Source organism: Homo sapiens, chromosome 1 (assembly GCF_000001405.40).
Source record: "Homo sapiens chromosome 1, GRCh38.p14 Primary Assembly".
In the NCBI taxonomy this organism is placed as follows: Eukaryota; Metazoa; Chordata; class Mammalia; order Primates; family Hominidae; genus Homo; species Homo sapiens.
The window spans coordinates 42,581,132-42,594,401 of NC_000001.11; the positions used below are offsets into that span (position 1 = coordinate 42,581,132).

Below are 13,270 nucleotides of genomic sequence, written 5' to 3' on the forward strand. Positions count from 1 at the left end.
TGTCTGGCCTGTAGCTTCTTTTATATACACACATTGAATTATATGAATGCATTACATACTGCAAAAATTAAACAATTTATTTTAAAATTAAATCTAGCTACTCTTTTTACTTCAGGTCAGATTAATATGTTAGCACTGCTATGTTTGCTATTTATATGTTATTCCCCTAATTTGAAAAAAGGTCACACTCTTCTTAATGCTTTACTTGTAAATGTTTTTTCATTCAAGATTTTGGACCTGCAGCGGAAATTAGAACATGCTCATAAAGTCTGTCTCACAGACACTTGTATTTCAGAGAAGCAGCAGCTAGAGGAAAAGATAAAAGAAGCAACACAAAATGAAGCTAAAGTAAAGCAACAATATCAAGAAGAACAACAGAAGAGGTAAGAGGAGCAGAGATCTCAGTTTCCTGTGGGTTTAGCCATGACTGAGTTAATCAGCAATATCAATTTTTTCTAACAGAATATCAGAGAGTATTTCTGCTCTGTCCCCACTGAAGTAAACTCAGCCACACACAATTCCTGATGTATTGCACTTACCACACTGTATTCTAATTGTTTATTTTCTAGTTTACCTCTGGCGCTAGAGTGTGAGATTTTTAAAGGCAGAGATTATTTCTTCTGGTTCTGGGGCACACCTAGTGGTAACAGTAAATATTCTTGACTGACTTGCCTATGAAATACTATGGAATTTGCTCTGACATGTAGTCTGACAAAATTCAAACTACAATGAAGTTGATATTCTGTACGAGGGGACTTCAGAGAGTTTGTGGAAAAATTGAATTGAAAGATAAAATAAAAAATATATTGGCCAGGTGCAGTGGCTCACACCTGTAATCCCAGCACTCCGGGATGCCGAGGTAGGAGGATCACTTGAGCCTAGGAGTTTGAGACCAGCCTGGGCAGCATAGTGAGTCTTTGTCTATACCAAAAAAAAAAAAAAAAAAAAATGATCCAGGCATGACAGTGGACTCCTTTAGTCCCAGCTACTCAGGAGGCTGAGGTAGGAGGATCACTTGAGCCCAGGAGTTTGAGGCTGCAGTAAGCCATGATTGAAACACTGCACTCTGGACTGGGTGGCAGAATGAGACCCTGTCTCAAAAAACAACTTTATTTCTCAACATAAGCTCCATCAAGGTCAAGGCACTTTTGTAAGTGATGAAGCACACCATTTAGTCCATCCCTAGAGAACTGAGTGAGAATCCTGGGAGTTTAACCATATCATTGCAGTCTTTTGCACATTATTAACCAAAGAGAAATGGGTGCCCTTTAAATATTTTTTAAGATTGGGAAACAAAAAGAAATCAGAAGGAGCCAAATCAGGACTGTAAGGTGGATGCCTAATAATTCCCCATCAAAACTCTTGGAAAATTGCCCTTGTTTGATAAGGGGAATGAGCAGGAGCATTGTCATGGTAGAGAAGGAATCTGGTGAAGCTTTCCCAGGGATTTTTTAAAATAAAGCTTTGGCTACCTTTCTCAAAACACTCTCATAATAAACAGGTTATCATTTGGCTTTCTAGAAAGTCAATAAGCAAAATCCTTTGAGCATCACAAAAAACTGTTGGCATGACCTCTGCTCTTGACTGGTCCACTTTTGCTGTGACTGGGCCACTTCCTCCTCCTCTTGGTAGCCATTTCTTTGATTATGCTTTGTCTTCAGTATCATATTGGTAAAGCCATGTTTCTTCTCCTGTTACAATTCTTCAAAGAAGTGCTTCAGGATCTTCCTCCCACTTGTGTAAAATTCCTATTGAAAGCTTTGCTCCTGTCTGTAGCTAATCTGAATGCAACAGTTTTGGCACCCATCAAGTGGAAAGTTTGCTAAACTTTAATTTCTCTGTCAGAATTGTGGTAAGCTGAATCAATTGAGATGTCTATGATATTGGCTATTGTTTCTGCTGCTAATTATCAGTCTTCAATTAGGGCACAAAAAAATTATTTTTTTTCTTTGTAAATTGGTGTGGATGGTCTGCCACTGTGGCCCTCATCTTCAACATCATCTCATCCCTTCTTAAAATGACTTATCCATTAGTAAACTGCTGATTTCTTTGGGCTGTTGTCTCTTTAAACTTTTCATTAAAGCATCAATGACTTCAGCATTCTTCCACCTTAGTTTCACCATAAATTTGATGTTTGTTCTTGCTTAGTGTCCTTATGTCTAAAGTGGGAATTGTAATGCCAGTTCTATACATCTTTTGTGAAGATTTGCTAAGAAGAAATATGTATGCACTATTTAAACTAAGTGTAGGAAAATAAAATATATAGGGAAATTCTTCTACCGAAAGGGGACCCTATAGTGTATATTGTTTCATAATCTGGAAGAAAATAACCCTGATTTAAATAGTTAGATTGTAACCTACTTTTTCACTTAAAATATTACGATCTGTTTATCTGACATTACATTTTTTTCTAGAATATTATTTTAATGATATGTCACATTTTATTTAATAAATCCTTTATTGTTGAACATTTAGATTTTTCCCAGTTTCTTCTATTTCAGTGACATAATATATATCCTGACACATAATAAGCACTTCTACCAGGAAATAGAATCAGTAGGAATATATATTTAATAAAAGCCTTATTACAGGGACTTGGTCTTATGCAATTATGGGAACTGGTTATGCAGTCTGTATGGCGTCATCTTTGCATCTTATGCTAGAGCTTGAAGTCTGCAGGGCAAACAATCATGAAATGAAGTTGAATGTAAAGTGGAAGAGCAACAAGGTGAAAACCATGAAGATGGACTGGAAGCCATGTCAGTTCTTGCTGCCTCTAACCTTGATAAAGTGTAGGTATCCTACAGGAAAAACTGGCACCCTTCATCAAGGAGCTAAATAGACATCTGGCCCAGGAGATGGAAAAGGTGAAGGAGGATTCAAGGGAAGGTGGAGCAGTTGTAGGCCTGGCTGTTGCGTCATGCCAAGGTGAGCAGCAGATATCTAGCAGTGTTTATAAACTATAAAAATGCCTGCTCCAACCTTCCACCTGGAAAAAACAAAATGTTTCAATTCTGTTCTCTAAATCTTACACAAATATTATCTCCTGTGGCCCACTATAACCAGAAACTTACACAGAAGGAATTCTGGGAAACTAGACAAGTCAAAATGTTACAAAGCTACTCTATTAAAAATATATTTGTTAAACTATAGTTAATTCTATTTAGTTTAAATTAGGCCTGGCACCAGTGGCTCACACCTGTAATCCCAGCATGTTAGGAGGCTGAGGCAGGCAGATCACTTGAGGTCAGAAGTTTGAGACCAGCCTGGCCAACATAGTGAAATCCCATCTTTACTTAAAAATACAAAAATTAGCCAAGCATGGTAGCAGACACATGTTAACCCCAGCTACTTGGGAGGCTGAGGCAAGAAAATTGCTTAAACCCAGGAGGCAGAGGTTGCAGTGAGCCAAGATGGCGCCACTGCACTCCAACGTGGGCAACAGGGCAGGCTAAACAGGCGAGACTCCATCTCAAAAAAAAGAAAGTTTCGCTGTTATTATAATATTGGATGTTATTGTTGTTACTATTGTTGTCATTATCATCATAATCTTCTCAGTAAGATGAAGAAAGTTCATTTGGCCAGAACAAAACGTTTAGAGACAAGGAAAGTGGCAAGAAAATGAGGCTAGAAAGGTAAGCTAGACCTAGGTCATGTAGAACTTAACAGACCACACTGAGTTTGAACCTGTTCATGAAGGTATTGGTCTGTGGTTTTCCTATCATATAATATCTGTATCTGGTTTTGGTATTAGGGTAATGTTTGTCTCAAAAAATTACTTAGGAAGTGTCCCCTCTCCTTCAATTTTTTTTGGAAGAGATTGCAGAGAATTGGTATCATTTCTTTCTTAAATGTTTGGTAGAATTCACCATGAAATCATCTGGGCCTAGTGCTTTATTTTTTGGAAGGTAATTAATTATTGATTCAATTTCTTTAACAGATATAGGCCAACTTAGATTATCTATTTCTCCTTGTGTGAGCTTTCGTAGTTTGTGTCTTTCAAAGAATCAGTCCATATAATGTAAGTTATCATATTTGTAGGCAGAATTGTTCATAATACTCCTTTATTATCCTTTTAATGTCCATGGAGTTAGTAGTGGTGGCCCTTCTTTCATTTTGATATTTAAAAATAAATGTTTTATTTGTCAAATAGAGATGAGTCTTTGCTGTGTTGCCCAGGCTGGTCTCAAGTTCCTGCATTCAAGTGATACTCCTGCCTCAGCCTCCCAAAGTGCTGGGATTATAGATGTGAGCCATTGTGCCTGGCCACATTTTTTATATTATTAATATTTGTCTTCTCTATTTATTAGTTAGCCTGGCTAGAGGTTTATCTATTTTATTCATCTTTTCAAAGAATGAACTTTTGATTTCATTGATTTTTCTCTATTGTTTTCTTGTTTTCAATCCCATTGATTAATACTCTCATTTTTACTATTTCTTTGCTTCTGCTTGCTTTAGGCTTATAATGTTCTTCTTTCTCTAGTTTCCTAAGGTGAAAGCTTAGATTACTGATTTTATATTTTTCTTCCTTTATAATATATGCATGTAATGCTACAAGTTTTCTGCTATGTTGTATCCTATAAATTTTGTAAGTTGTATTTCATTTTCATTTAGTTCAAAATATTTTTAATTTATTGAGACCTCCTTTTTGACTCATGTATTATTTAGAAGTGTGTTGTTTATCCCAAATATTTAGAATTTTCCATCTCTCTTTTTCTTACTGATTTATGGTTTCATAATATCAGTTTAAACAGTTGTATGACATTGTTACATAGATATATCATACTTTATGTAATACTTACATCTTTTAGACTTTTTTGCTATTATAAAACTGTAATAAATATCTCTATACATAAGACTTTGCAACTGCAATGAAGTATGATGAAGTGTGGTAAGTGTTATACTAAAGGAGGTTTAGGTTGCCATGATAGTACATAACACGGATATCTATGGAGTGAGGGAGCTTAAGAAAGACTTCCTCAAAGAAAGTGGTTTAAGTTGAGAATGAAGTAGTTGGTATCAAGAAGCTAAATAGACAATAGTATGGAGGACCACTTTGAGGAAGTGAAAAAGTTCATTGGCTGAAAGAAAATGAGGTTAGGGACAGTGGTGAGAAAATGAGATAAGGAGGTGACGTAGGCCTAGCTCATGCAGAACCTTAGATTTTGTTTGTTTGTTTGTTCGTTTGTTTAGAGTCAGGGATCTTGCTCTGTTGCCCAGGCTGGAATACAGTGGCACAATCATGACTCACTGCAGCCCTGAACTCCTGGGCTCAGATGATCCTCCTGCCTCCACCTACTGAGTAGCTAGGACTATAGGCATACCCAACATGCCCAGCTAATTAAAAAAAAAATTTAGAGACAGGATCTCCCTATGTTGCTCAGGTTGTTTTAGAACTCCTGGCCTCAGGTGATCCTCCAGCCTCAGACTCCCAAAGTGTTAGGAGGTGTGAGCCATAGTGCCACAGATCCTCATGAGCCATGGTGCCCAGCTCTTGTGAGCCACAGTGCCCATTTCTCATGCAGAATATATCAAGCCATGGTGAACAGTTTGGACTTTACCTTAAGAGTATGGGGTTCCTGAATCAAGGAACAGAAAAAATATATATATAAGAAAGAGTAATGGGGAGCCACTATAGGATTTTAAGCAGAGGAAGTTATATGATTAGTTTGCAATTTAGAAAGAACACTCTGACTACTAAAAGAGGCTCAGGCTGCAGAGAATGCAGGGAGTCTTATCAGTACACCAATTTCTTAATTTTATTCATTGGCAGACCTGGTTTGTTAGTCTTTTATTTTTCAAACTCTATATCAATTAACTTCTCGCATATTCTTGAGTTGCTCTTTTAATTTTGACTTCCGAATTTGCTTTTTTTCTTTTTGTAGAGATGGGGTCTCACTCTGTCACCCAGGCTGCAGTGCAGTAGTGCGATCACAGTTCACTGCAGCCTTGACCTCCCAGGCTCAAGCACTTCGCCCACCTCAGCCTCCTGAGTAGCTGGGACTACAGGCGCATGCCACCATGCCTAATTTTTAAAAAATTTTTTATACAGATGAGTTCTCACTATGTTGCCCAGGCTGCTCCTGAACTTTTGGGCTCAAGCGATCCTCCTACCTTGGCCTCCCAAAGTGCTAGGATTATAGGTGTGAGCCACCATGTCCAGCCAACTTCCTACTTTCCAATTCTAGTTTTCAGCTCTCAAATTTTACTGCCAATAACTCAAGTGTTTTTAGTTTCAGTGGATCAAAACTTCTCTTTTAGTTTCAAGGCTTATCTCTTAGTCTGGAAATTGAGAGTGGAACCAAAAAGAAGTAGGCCATAATAGCAGGTATACAGTGAATTAGATGAAGGAGAGATGAAAGAGAGGATATTGCTGTAGAAGTGGATGTGAATGGTAGAAAATTAGCTATAGCAGTCCTTGGAGAGTCTGCACTTACATCCAAGAAACATAAGGAGAAGAACGAGAGGTGGAGGGATGTGAGCCCATGTCTCAAATATAATTGTCCCCCAATAACCTGTTGATTTCTCAGAATACTGAAGTTAGAGAAAACAAACTTAATTGTCGAATGTCAGGATTTTACTGCCCTAGCATGCAGGTGAGACTTTTGCCCACCAGTACTATTTCATTATCATCATCACAGTCTTCAAGATGAATCTCCTAAGTCCAGAGAACCTTGGTCTGAAATCCTCAGAAAACTCTTTTCACAAACTTTATTCTATTACTGAAATACCAGGGGTTTGGTCTAGGTCCCATTGCTTAGTGCACAGAAAGCCAATTACTGAGACAATGAGTATTGCCAGGGAAAAAGGCTTTATTAGGGTGCCGCAGTTGAGGAGAATGGGAGATCAGTCTCAAATCTATCTCCCTGACCAACTAAAATTTGGGGGGTTATAGCAGGGAAGGAATGTAAAACAGGAATTAGTGAGGGGTAAGGAACCAATCATGAGGAATGAGGCATCTCATTTTCTGTATGCTACGATCTGGTGAATTTTAGTTTCTTGCCTGAGGGTCAGTCTCCTGAGGGAGGAACTCAGATATAAATTTCAAGTTTTAAGACTGGGAGGGTACATTTCTACATTTGTTTAAAAAACTGTAAGTGTAATTTCTGTGGGACAGTTGGGCTGGTTTCATGATGAGACTGAAAGAGTGCTAATGGCCCTTGTAGGGGTGGAGGGAAAATTTCCCCTCCCCTTCTGAAGGTTTTCTGAAAAGTCAACTGACAAAAGACAGATTAATAGGAGAAAAAGCAAACACAATTTTATTAACGTGGGGTGGGGAAAATCAAGTGTGATGACCCAGTGTCTAAGTGTGTTGCAGAAGCTTATATACCCATTTCCAGGGGAGAGGGAGATGAGGAATGTAGAGAATTCCAAGGGACAGTAACTCATTAGGGAGAGTGAAGGGACCCTGGAGACAAAAATTAATTCATAAATTATTTACCTGGGAATTTGAATGAGTTTAAGAGATAGCCATTGTCTTGTGAAAAGGTCTGTGGAGGTGTTGTTATATTCCTCAATCTTCTTTTCTGAAGATCCATAAATAATGCAGTTTCAGGGAGGGGATGGGTATAATTGTTCTCCTTGGTAAGTCCAGTCTTCACGCAGATAAGAGAAAAGCCTCTTCTAGCATCTGCTGATCTCTAAGGGCCTTTCATTCAAAATATTTAGTATACCAGGATACCATATTTGAGGTAAAATTCTGTGAGTTCCTTTACCCTCTTTTGGAAAATGGTAAATTTTCTCATAAAATGCAGGCTCATTTATGATTCATTTATAGCAGTGTTAATGTGTGCTTATTATTATCAATAGTGCTTGTAACTAACATTACCTTGAACCCAGAAGATGAAGGGCTCAACTCGTAAAGCAGTAAGGAAGAAAGAATATGGGATTCAGGATTCGAGCCCTACCTCCACTTTGTCTTAACTGTTCTCTCTACCACAACTTCCTCATCTCTGAAATAAGGACAACTACTTTTTCCTCATAGGGTCATTTTGATGAGTGAGTGAGAGAAGTAAGGAAAGCTTCTATCACAAAAGAGGTTCCCTGTGTTGGTCCCTTTAGCTTATAGACACATACCCTACTTCATTGAACCAAAAAAAAAAAAAATCCCTTGTGATGCCATAAAAATTTTAGGTCTGAATTTCATTTGCAATTCATGGTGTGATTTAATCTACATTAATTGCCCTCAGGAAACTTCTATATCAGAACGTAGATGAGTTACACAGGCAAGTGAGAACCTTACAAGATAAAGAAAATCTACTGGAAATGACCTGTTCTCAGCAACAATCCAGAATTCAGCAACAAGAGGCCCTACTTAAACAACTGGAAAATGAAAAAAGAAAATATGATGAGGTAAGAAAGTAAATAGACATGCTTCTCAGTTTTCCTATTCCCATTAGTAACAGCTAATTATTATTGAGTGCCTAGCACTTTACTAAACCTAATCCTTTAGTCAGGGTTCAGTCAGGAAAGTAGAATCTACTCTAGGTATTTCAAGCAAGAAGAGATTTAACACAGGGAATAAGAGCTTACAAAACAGTTGGAAGGGACCAGGGGAGAGTAGAGTCAGAAAGGACTGCTGCTAGCTTTCAATAAATCCAGAAGTTCAGAAATCACAGAGAAGCCACCTCCTGCAGCGTCAAAGTGGAGAATTTGCAGGAACTGTCCTGAAGCTCCTACAAATGTCTCATCTGTTGTCTGCCCTTTTATCCATCTGCTAGTGCTAAAGAACTGTTGGGGGGAAAGACAAACAAACCTGTTTCTTCTTTCTATACTCGTACCACTCTGAATACTTCACTTCTGATATAGTTTGGATGATTCTCCTCTCCAAATCTCTTGCTGAAATGTAATCCCCATCATTGGAGGTGGGGCTTAACAGGAGGTGGTTTTGTCATGGGGGTGGGTCCCTCATAAATGGCTTGATGCTGTCCTCACGATAATGAATTATTGCGAGATCTAGATGTTTAAAAGTGTGTGGCACCTCTCCGCTCTCTCTTGCTCCCACTATCACCGTGTGACATGTCTGCTCCCATTTCACCTACCACCATGATTGTTAGCTTCCTGAGTCCCTCACCAGAAGCTGACCAGATGCCGATACCATGCTTCCTGTATAGTCTGCATATCTGTAAGCCAATTAAACTTCTTTTCTTTATAAATTACCCAGTCTCGGGTATTTCTTTATAGCAGTGCAAGAACAGCTTGACACAGAAAATTGGTACCAAGAAGCGGAGCGTTACTAAAAAAGATACCTGAAAATGTGGAAGCAAGTTTGGAACTGGGTAACAGGCAGAGATTGGAAGAGTTTGGAGGGCTCAGAAGAAGGCAGGAGGACCAGGAGCAGTGGCTCACAACTGTAATCCCAGCGCTTGAGAGGCTGAGGTAGGAGGATTGCTTGAGGCCAGGAGTTCAAGACCAGCCTGGGCAACATAGTGAGCCCTTGTCTCAACAAAAAAATAATTAGCCAGATATGGTGGCATGGACCTGTAGTACCAGCTACTCAGGAGGCTGAGGTGGGAAGATCACTTGAGCTGGGAGGTCGGGGTTGCAATGAGCCATGATCATGCCACTACACTACAGCCTAGGTGACACAGCGAGACTCTGTCTCAAAAAAAAAAAGAGGATGAAAGTTTGTAACTTCTTAGAGACTGGTTAAATTGTTATGACCAAAATACTGATAGAAATATGGACAGTGAAGGCCAGCCTAGTGAGGTCTCAGATGGAAATAAGGAAGTTATTGGGAACTGGAATAAACGTCACTCATGTTACACCCTAGCAAAGAACTCCTGCATTGTGTTCATGTACCAAGGATCTGTGGAAGTTTGAATTTAAGAGTGGTAATTTAGGGTCTCTGGCAGAAGAAATTTCTAAGCAGCAAAGCATTCAAGATGTGGCCTGACTCCTTGTAACAACCTGTGATCAGATATGGGAGCAAAGGAATGACTTAAAGTTGGAACTTATATTCAAAAGGGAAGCAGAGCATAAAAATTCAGCAAATTTGCAGCCTGGCCATGTGGCAGAGAAAGAATCCCAGCAGGGTATGGAGCAACTACTTGCTAGAGAAACTAGCATGACTAAATGGGAGCCAAGTGCTAGTATCCAAGACAATGGGAAAAGGCCTCAAAGGCAATCTCAGAGAACTTGGAGACAGCCCCTACCATCACAGGTCCACAGACGTAGGAGGAAAGAATGGTTTAGGGGGCCAAGCACTGGGTACCACTGCTCTGCTCAGCCTCAGGACACTGCTCCCTGAATCCCAGCTACTACAGCTCCAGCTGTGGCTCAAAGGACCCCAGATACAGCTCAGGCTGCCTGTCCAGAGGATGCAAGCCATAAGCCTTGGTGGCTTCCATGTGGTACTAAACCTGTGGGCACATAGAATGCAAGAGTGAAGGAGGCTTGGCAGCTCCCACAAAGATTTCAGATGATGTGAGAGATAGCCTGGGTGCCCAGGCAGAACCCTGCCACAGGGGCAGAGCCCTCACAGAGAAGTTCTAATAGGGCAATGCTGAGGGGAAATGTGGGGTTGGAAGCCTCACACAGAGTCCCCACTGGGGCACTGCCTAGTGGAGCTATAAGAAGTGGGCCACTGCCCTCCAGACTCCAGAATGGTAGATCCACAGGCAGCTTGCATCCTGTACCTGGGAAAGCCTCAGACACCCAGCTCCAACCAGTGAGATCAGCCACAGGGGCTGCTGCCTGCAAAGCCACAGGAGAAGAGCTACCCAAGGCCTTGGGAGCCTACGCATTGCACCATTGTGCCCTGGATGTGGGACATGGAGTCAAGGGAGAGTATTTTGGAGCTTTAAGATTTAATGACTGCCCTGCTGAGATTTAGACTTGCATGGGGCCTATTGACTCTTTCTTTTGGCTAATTTCTCCCTTTTGGAATTGTGATGTTTACCTAATGCCTGTACTACCACTGTATCTTGGGAGTAAATGACTTATTTTGATTTTTACAGGCTCATAAGTGGAAGGAGATAAGTCTCAGAAGAGACTTAGGACTTTGGACTTGATGCTGGAATGAGTTAAGACTTTTGGGGACTATTGGTAGGGAATGATTGTATCTTGTAGTGTGAGAAAGACATGCAATTTGAGGGGTCATGGGTGGAATGATACGGTTTGGTTCTTTATCCCCTCCAAATCTCATCTTGAAATGTAATCCCCGTTGTTGGAGGTTGGGTCTGAGGGGAGTGTGTTTGGGTCATTGGAGTGCATCCCTCATTAATGGCCTGGTGCTGTCCTCATAATAGTGAGTGTGCTCTTCATGAGATCTGGTTGTTTGAAAGTATGTAGCCAGGCATGGTAGCTCATGCCTGTAATCCCGGCAGTTTGGGAGGCCAAGGCATTTGAGCTTGACCTTGAACTTGAGCTCAGGAGTTTGAGACCAGCCTTGGCAACATGGAGAAATCCATCTGTACAAAAAAATACAAAAATTAATTGGATGTGTTGGCATACACCTGTAGTCTCAGCTATTCAGGAGGCTGAGGTGGGGAAGATGGCTTGAACCTGGGAGGCGGAATTTGCAGTGAGCTGAGATCACGCCATTGCACTCCAGCCTGGACAACAAAGCCAGACCCTGTCTCAAAAAATAAATAAATAAATAAAACTTAAAATATAAATAAATAAAGTATATGACACCTCTCCCCATTCTCTTGCTCCTCTCACCATATGACATGTCTGCTCCCACTTCACCTACCATCATGATTGTGAGCTTCCTGAGGCCCTCACCAGAAGCTGAGCAGATGCTGGCACCACGCTTTCTGTATAGCCGGCAGAACCATGAGCCAATTAAACTTCTTTTCTCTATAAATTACCCAGTCTCAGGTATTCCTTTATAGCAATGCAAAAATGGCCAAATACAACTTCTGACACCAGTTATGTGAGTTTTTCCCCATACTAAGCAATTCTCCAATTCTTTGTGGACACCAACTGGATGTACAAAAATGTAAGTCAGTCTGACACTATCTACCTGAAGATAGCATCAGATCCCATGAGTTAAGCTCTCAGTCCCACAATACTGCCCCCATTCGAGATGCCAATTGCAAGTCCAGGTTTTTGCTTATGCTTCTGACCAACCAGTTATAAATCAGAGGTCCCCACAACCCTCTCCTTGGGTTTGATCTTTTTGTAGGATGGCTCACAGAATTCAGGAAAACAGTTTGCTTACTGGATTACTGGCTGATTATAAAAGGACACAACTCAGGAACAGCCAGATGGAAGAGATGCATAGGGCAAGGCATGTGGAAAGGGATGTGGAACTTCCATGACCTCTGATCACACCACCCTCCCAGGACCTCCACATATTCAGCAACCTAGAAGCTCCCTAAACCCTGTCCTTTTGGGGATTTATGAAGACTTCATTATGTAGGCATGATTGGTTAAATCATTAACTGTTAGTGATTAACTCAACCTTTAGTCCCTCTCCCTTCCTGGGAAGTCTGGATGAGCCTGAAAGTTCCAACCCTCTAATCATATAATGGTACCCCTGGCAACTTGCCTACATCCTGAGGCTGCCCCAGAGTCTCCCCACCCCTCTGCCATCAGTCTTCTCATTAGTTTACAAAAAAGACACTTACCACTTCGGAGATTCCAAGAGTTTTAGGAGCAGCGTGCCAGGAAATAGGACAAAGATCAAAATATGTATGTATTATACCACAGTAACACAAGAAAAATGACTTTTCCTTCCCTTATGCTTTCCAAATTGTGTGCAAGTTCCTCTCATCTGCAGAAACTACACTTGATCCCTGCTAGCAGGGAAGTCTGGAAAATGCAGTTTTCAGGCTTCCAAGCTCATGGCCCAGGGGAAAGCTTAGAAGAGTGGGGTCATGTTGAGTTCTAGCACAGTCCACTTGGGATACTCAGCATCCATCCAAATGCTTTTACCTTGTGGCTTAACTTCTAAACTACAAGAAGAATATCATGCTTCCACTGAATATGATGCACTATAATTCATATAAATAAAGACACACTGTCTCCATAAAAATAAAGAATACTCAAAGTCCAATCAGTATCTATGATTATTTTGGGGTGATGTTCATTTTACTTCAGTCTCAATCCACATGCGTGGATATACTATAACATTAAAACTTAATTATAGGCCAGGTGTGGTGGCTCACGACTGTGATCCCAACGATTTAGGAGGCTGAAGTGGGAGGATTGCTTGAGCTCAGGAGTTCGAGACCAGCCTTGGCAACATAGCAAGACCCTGTCTCTACAAAACAAAATTTTTTTTAATTAGCTGGGCCTGATGGTGTGCACCTGCAGCTCTAGC

The 13,270-nt window shown here is 40.5% G+C and overlaps 1 protein-coding gene and 1 long non-coding RNA gene across 12 annotated transcripts in view; one reads left to right on the forward strand and one right to left on the reverse strand.

Annotated features, from left to right (window-relative positions):
* Positions 1 to 13,270, forward strand: part of CCDC30 (coiled-coil domain containing 30) — a 201,084-nt gene that overhangs the window by 125,025 nt on the left and 62,789 nt on the right. For all 11 annotated transcript variants that reach the window (NM_001355226.2, NM_001395384.1, NM_001395517.1 and 8 more), the window contains 2 exons: positions 229 to 383; positions 8,190 to 8,352. In NM_001355226.2, the coding sequence (NP_001342155.1) occupies positions 229 to 383; positions 8,190 to 8,352 (318 nt within the window). The remainder of the gene's footprint in view (positions 1 to 228; positions 384 to 8,189; positions 8,353 to 13,270) is intronic.
* Positions 1 to 13,270, reverse strand: part of LOC124904162 (uncharacterized) — a 104,986-nt gene that overhangs the window by 10,311 nt on the left and 81,405 nt on the right. The gene's annotated exons all lie outside the window — the stretch shown is intronic.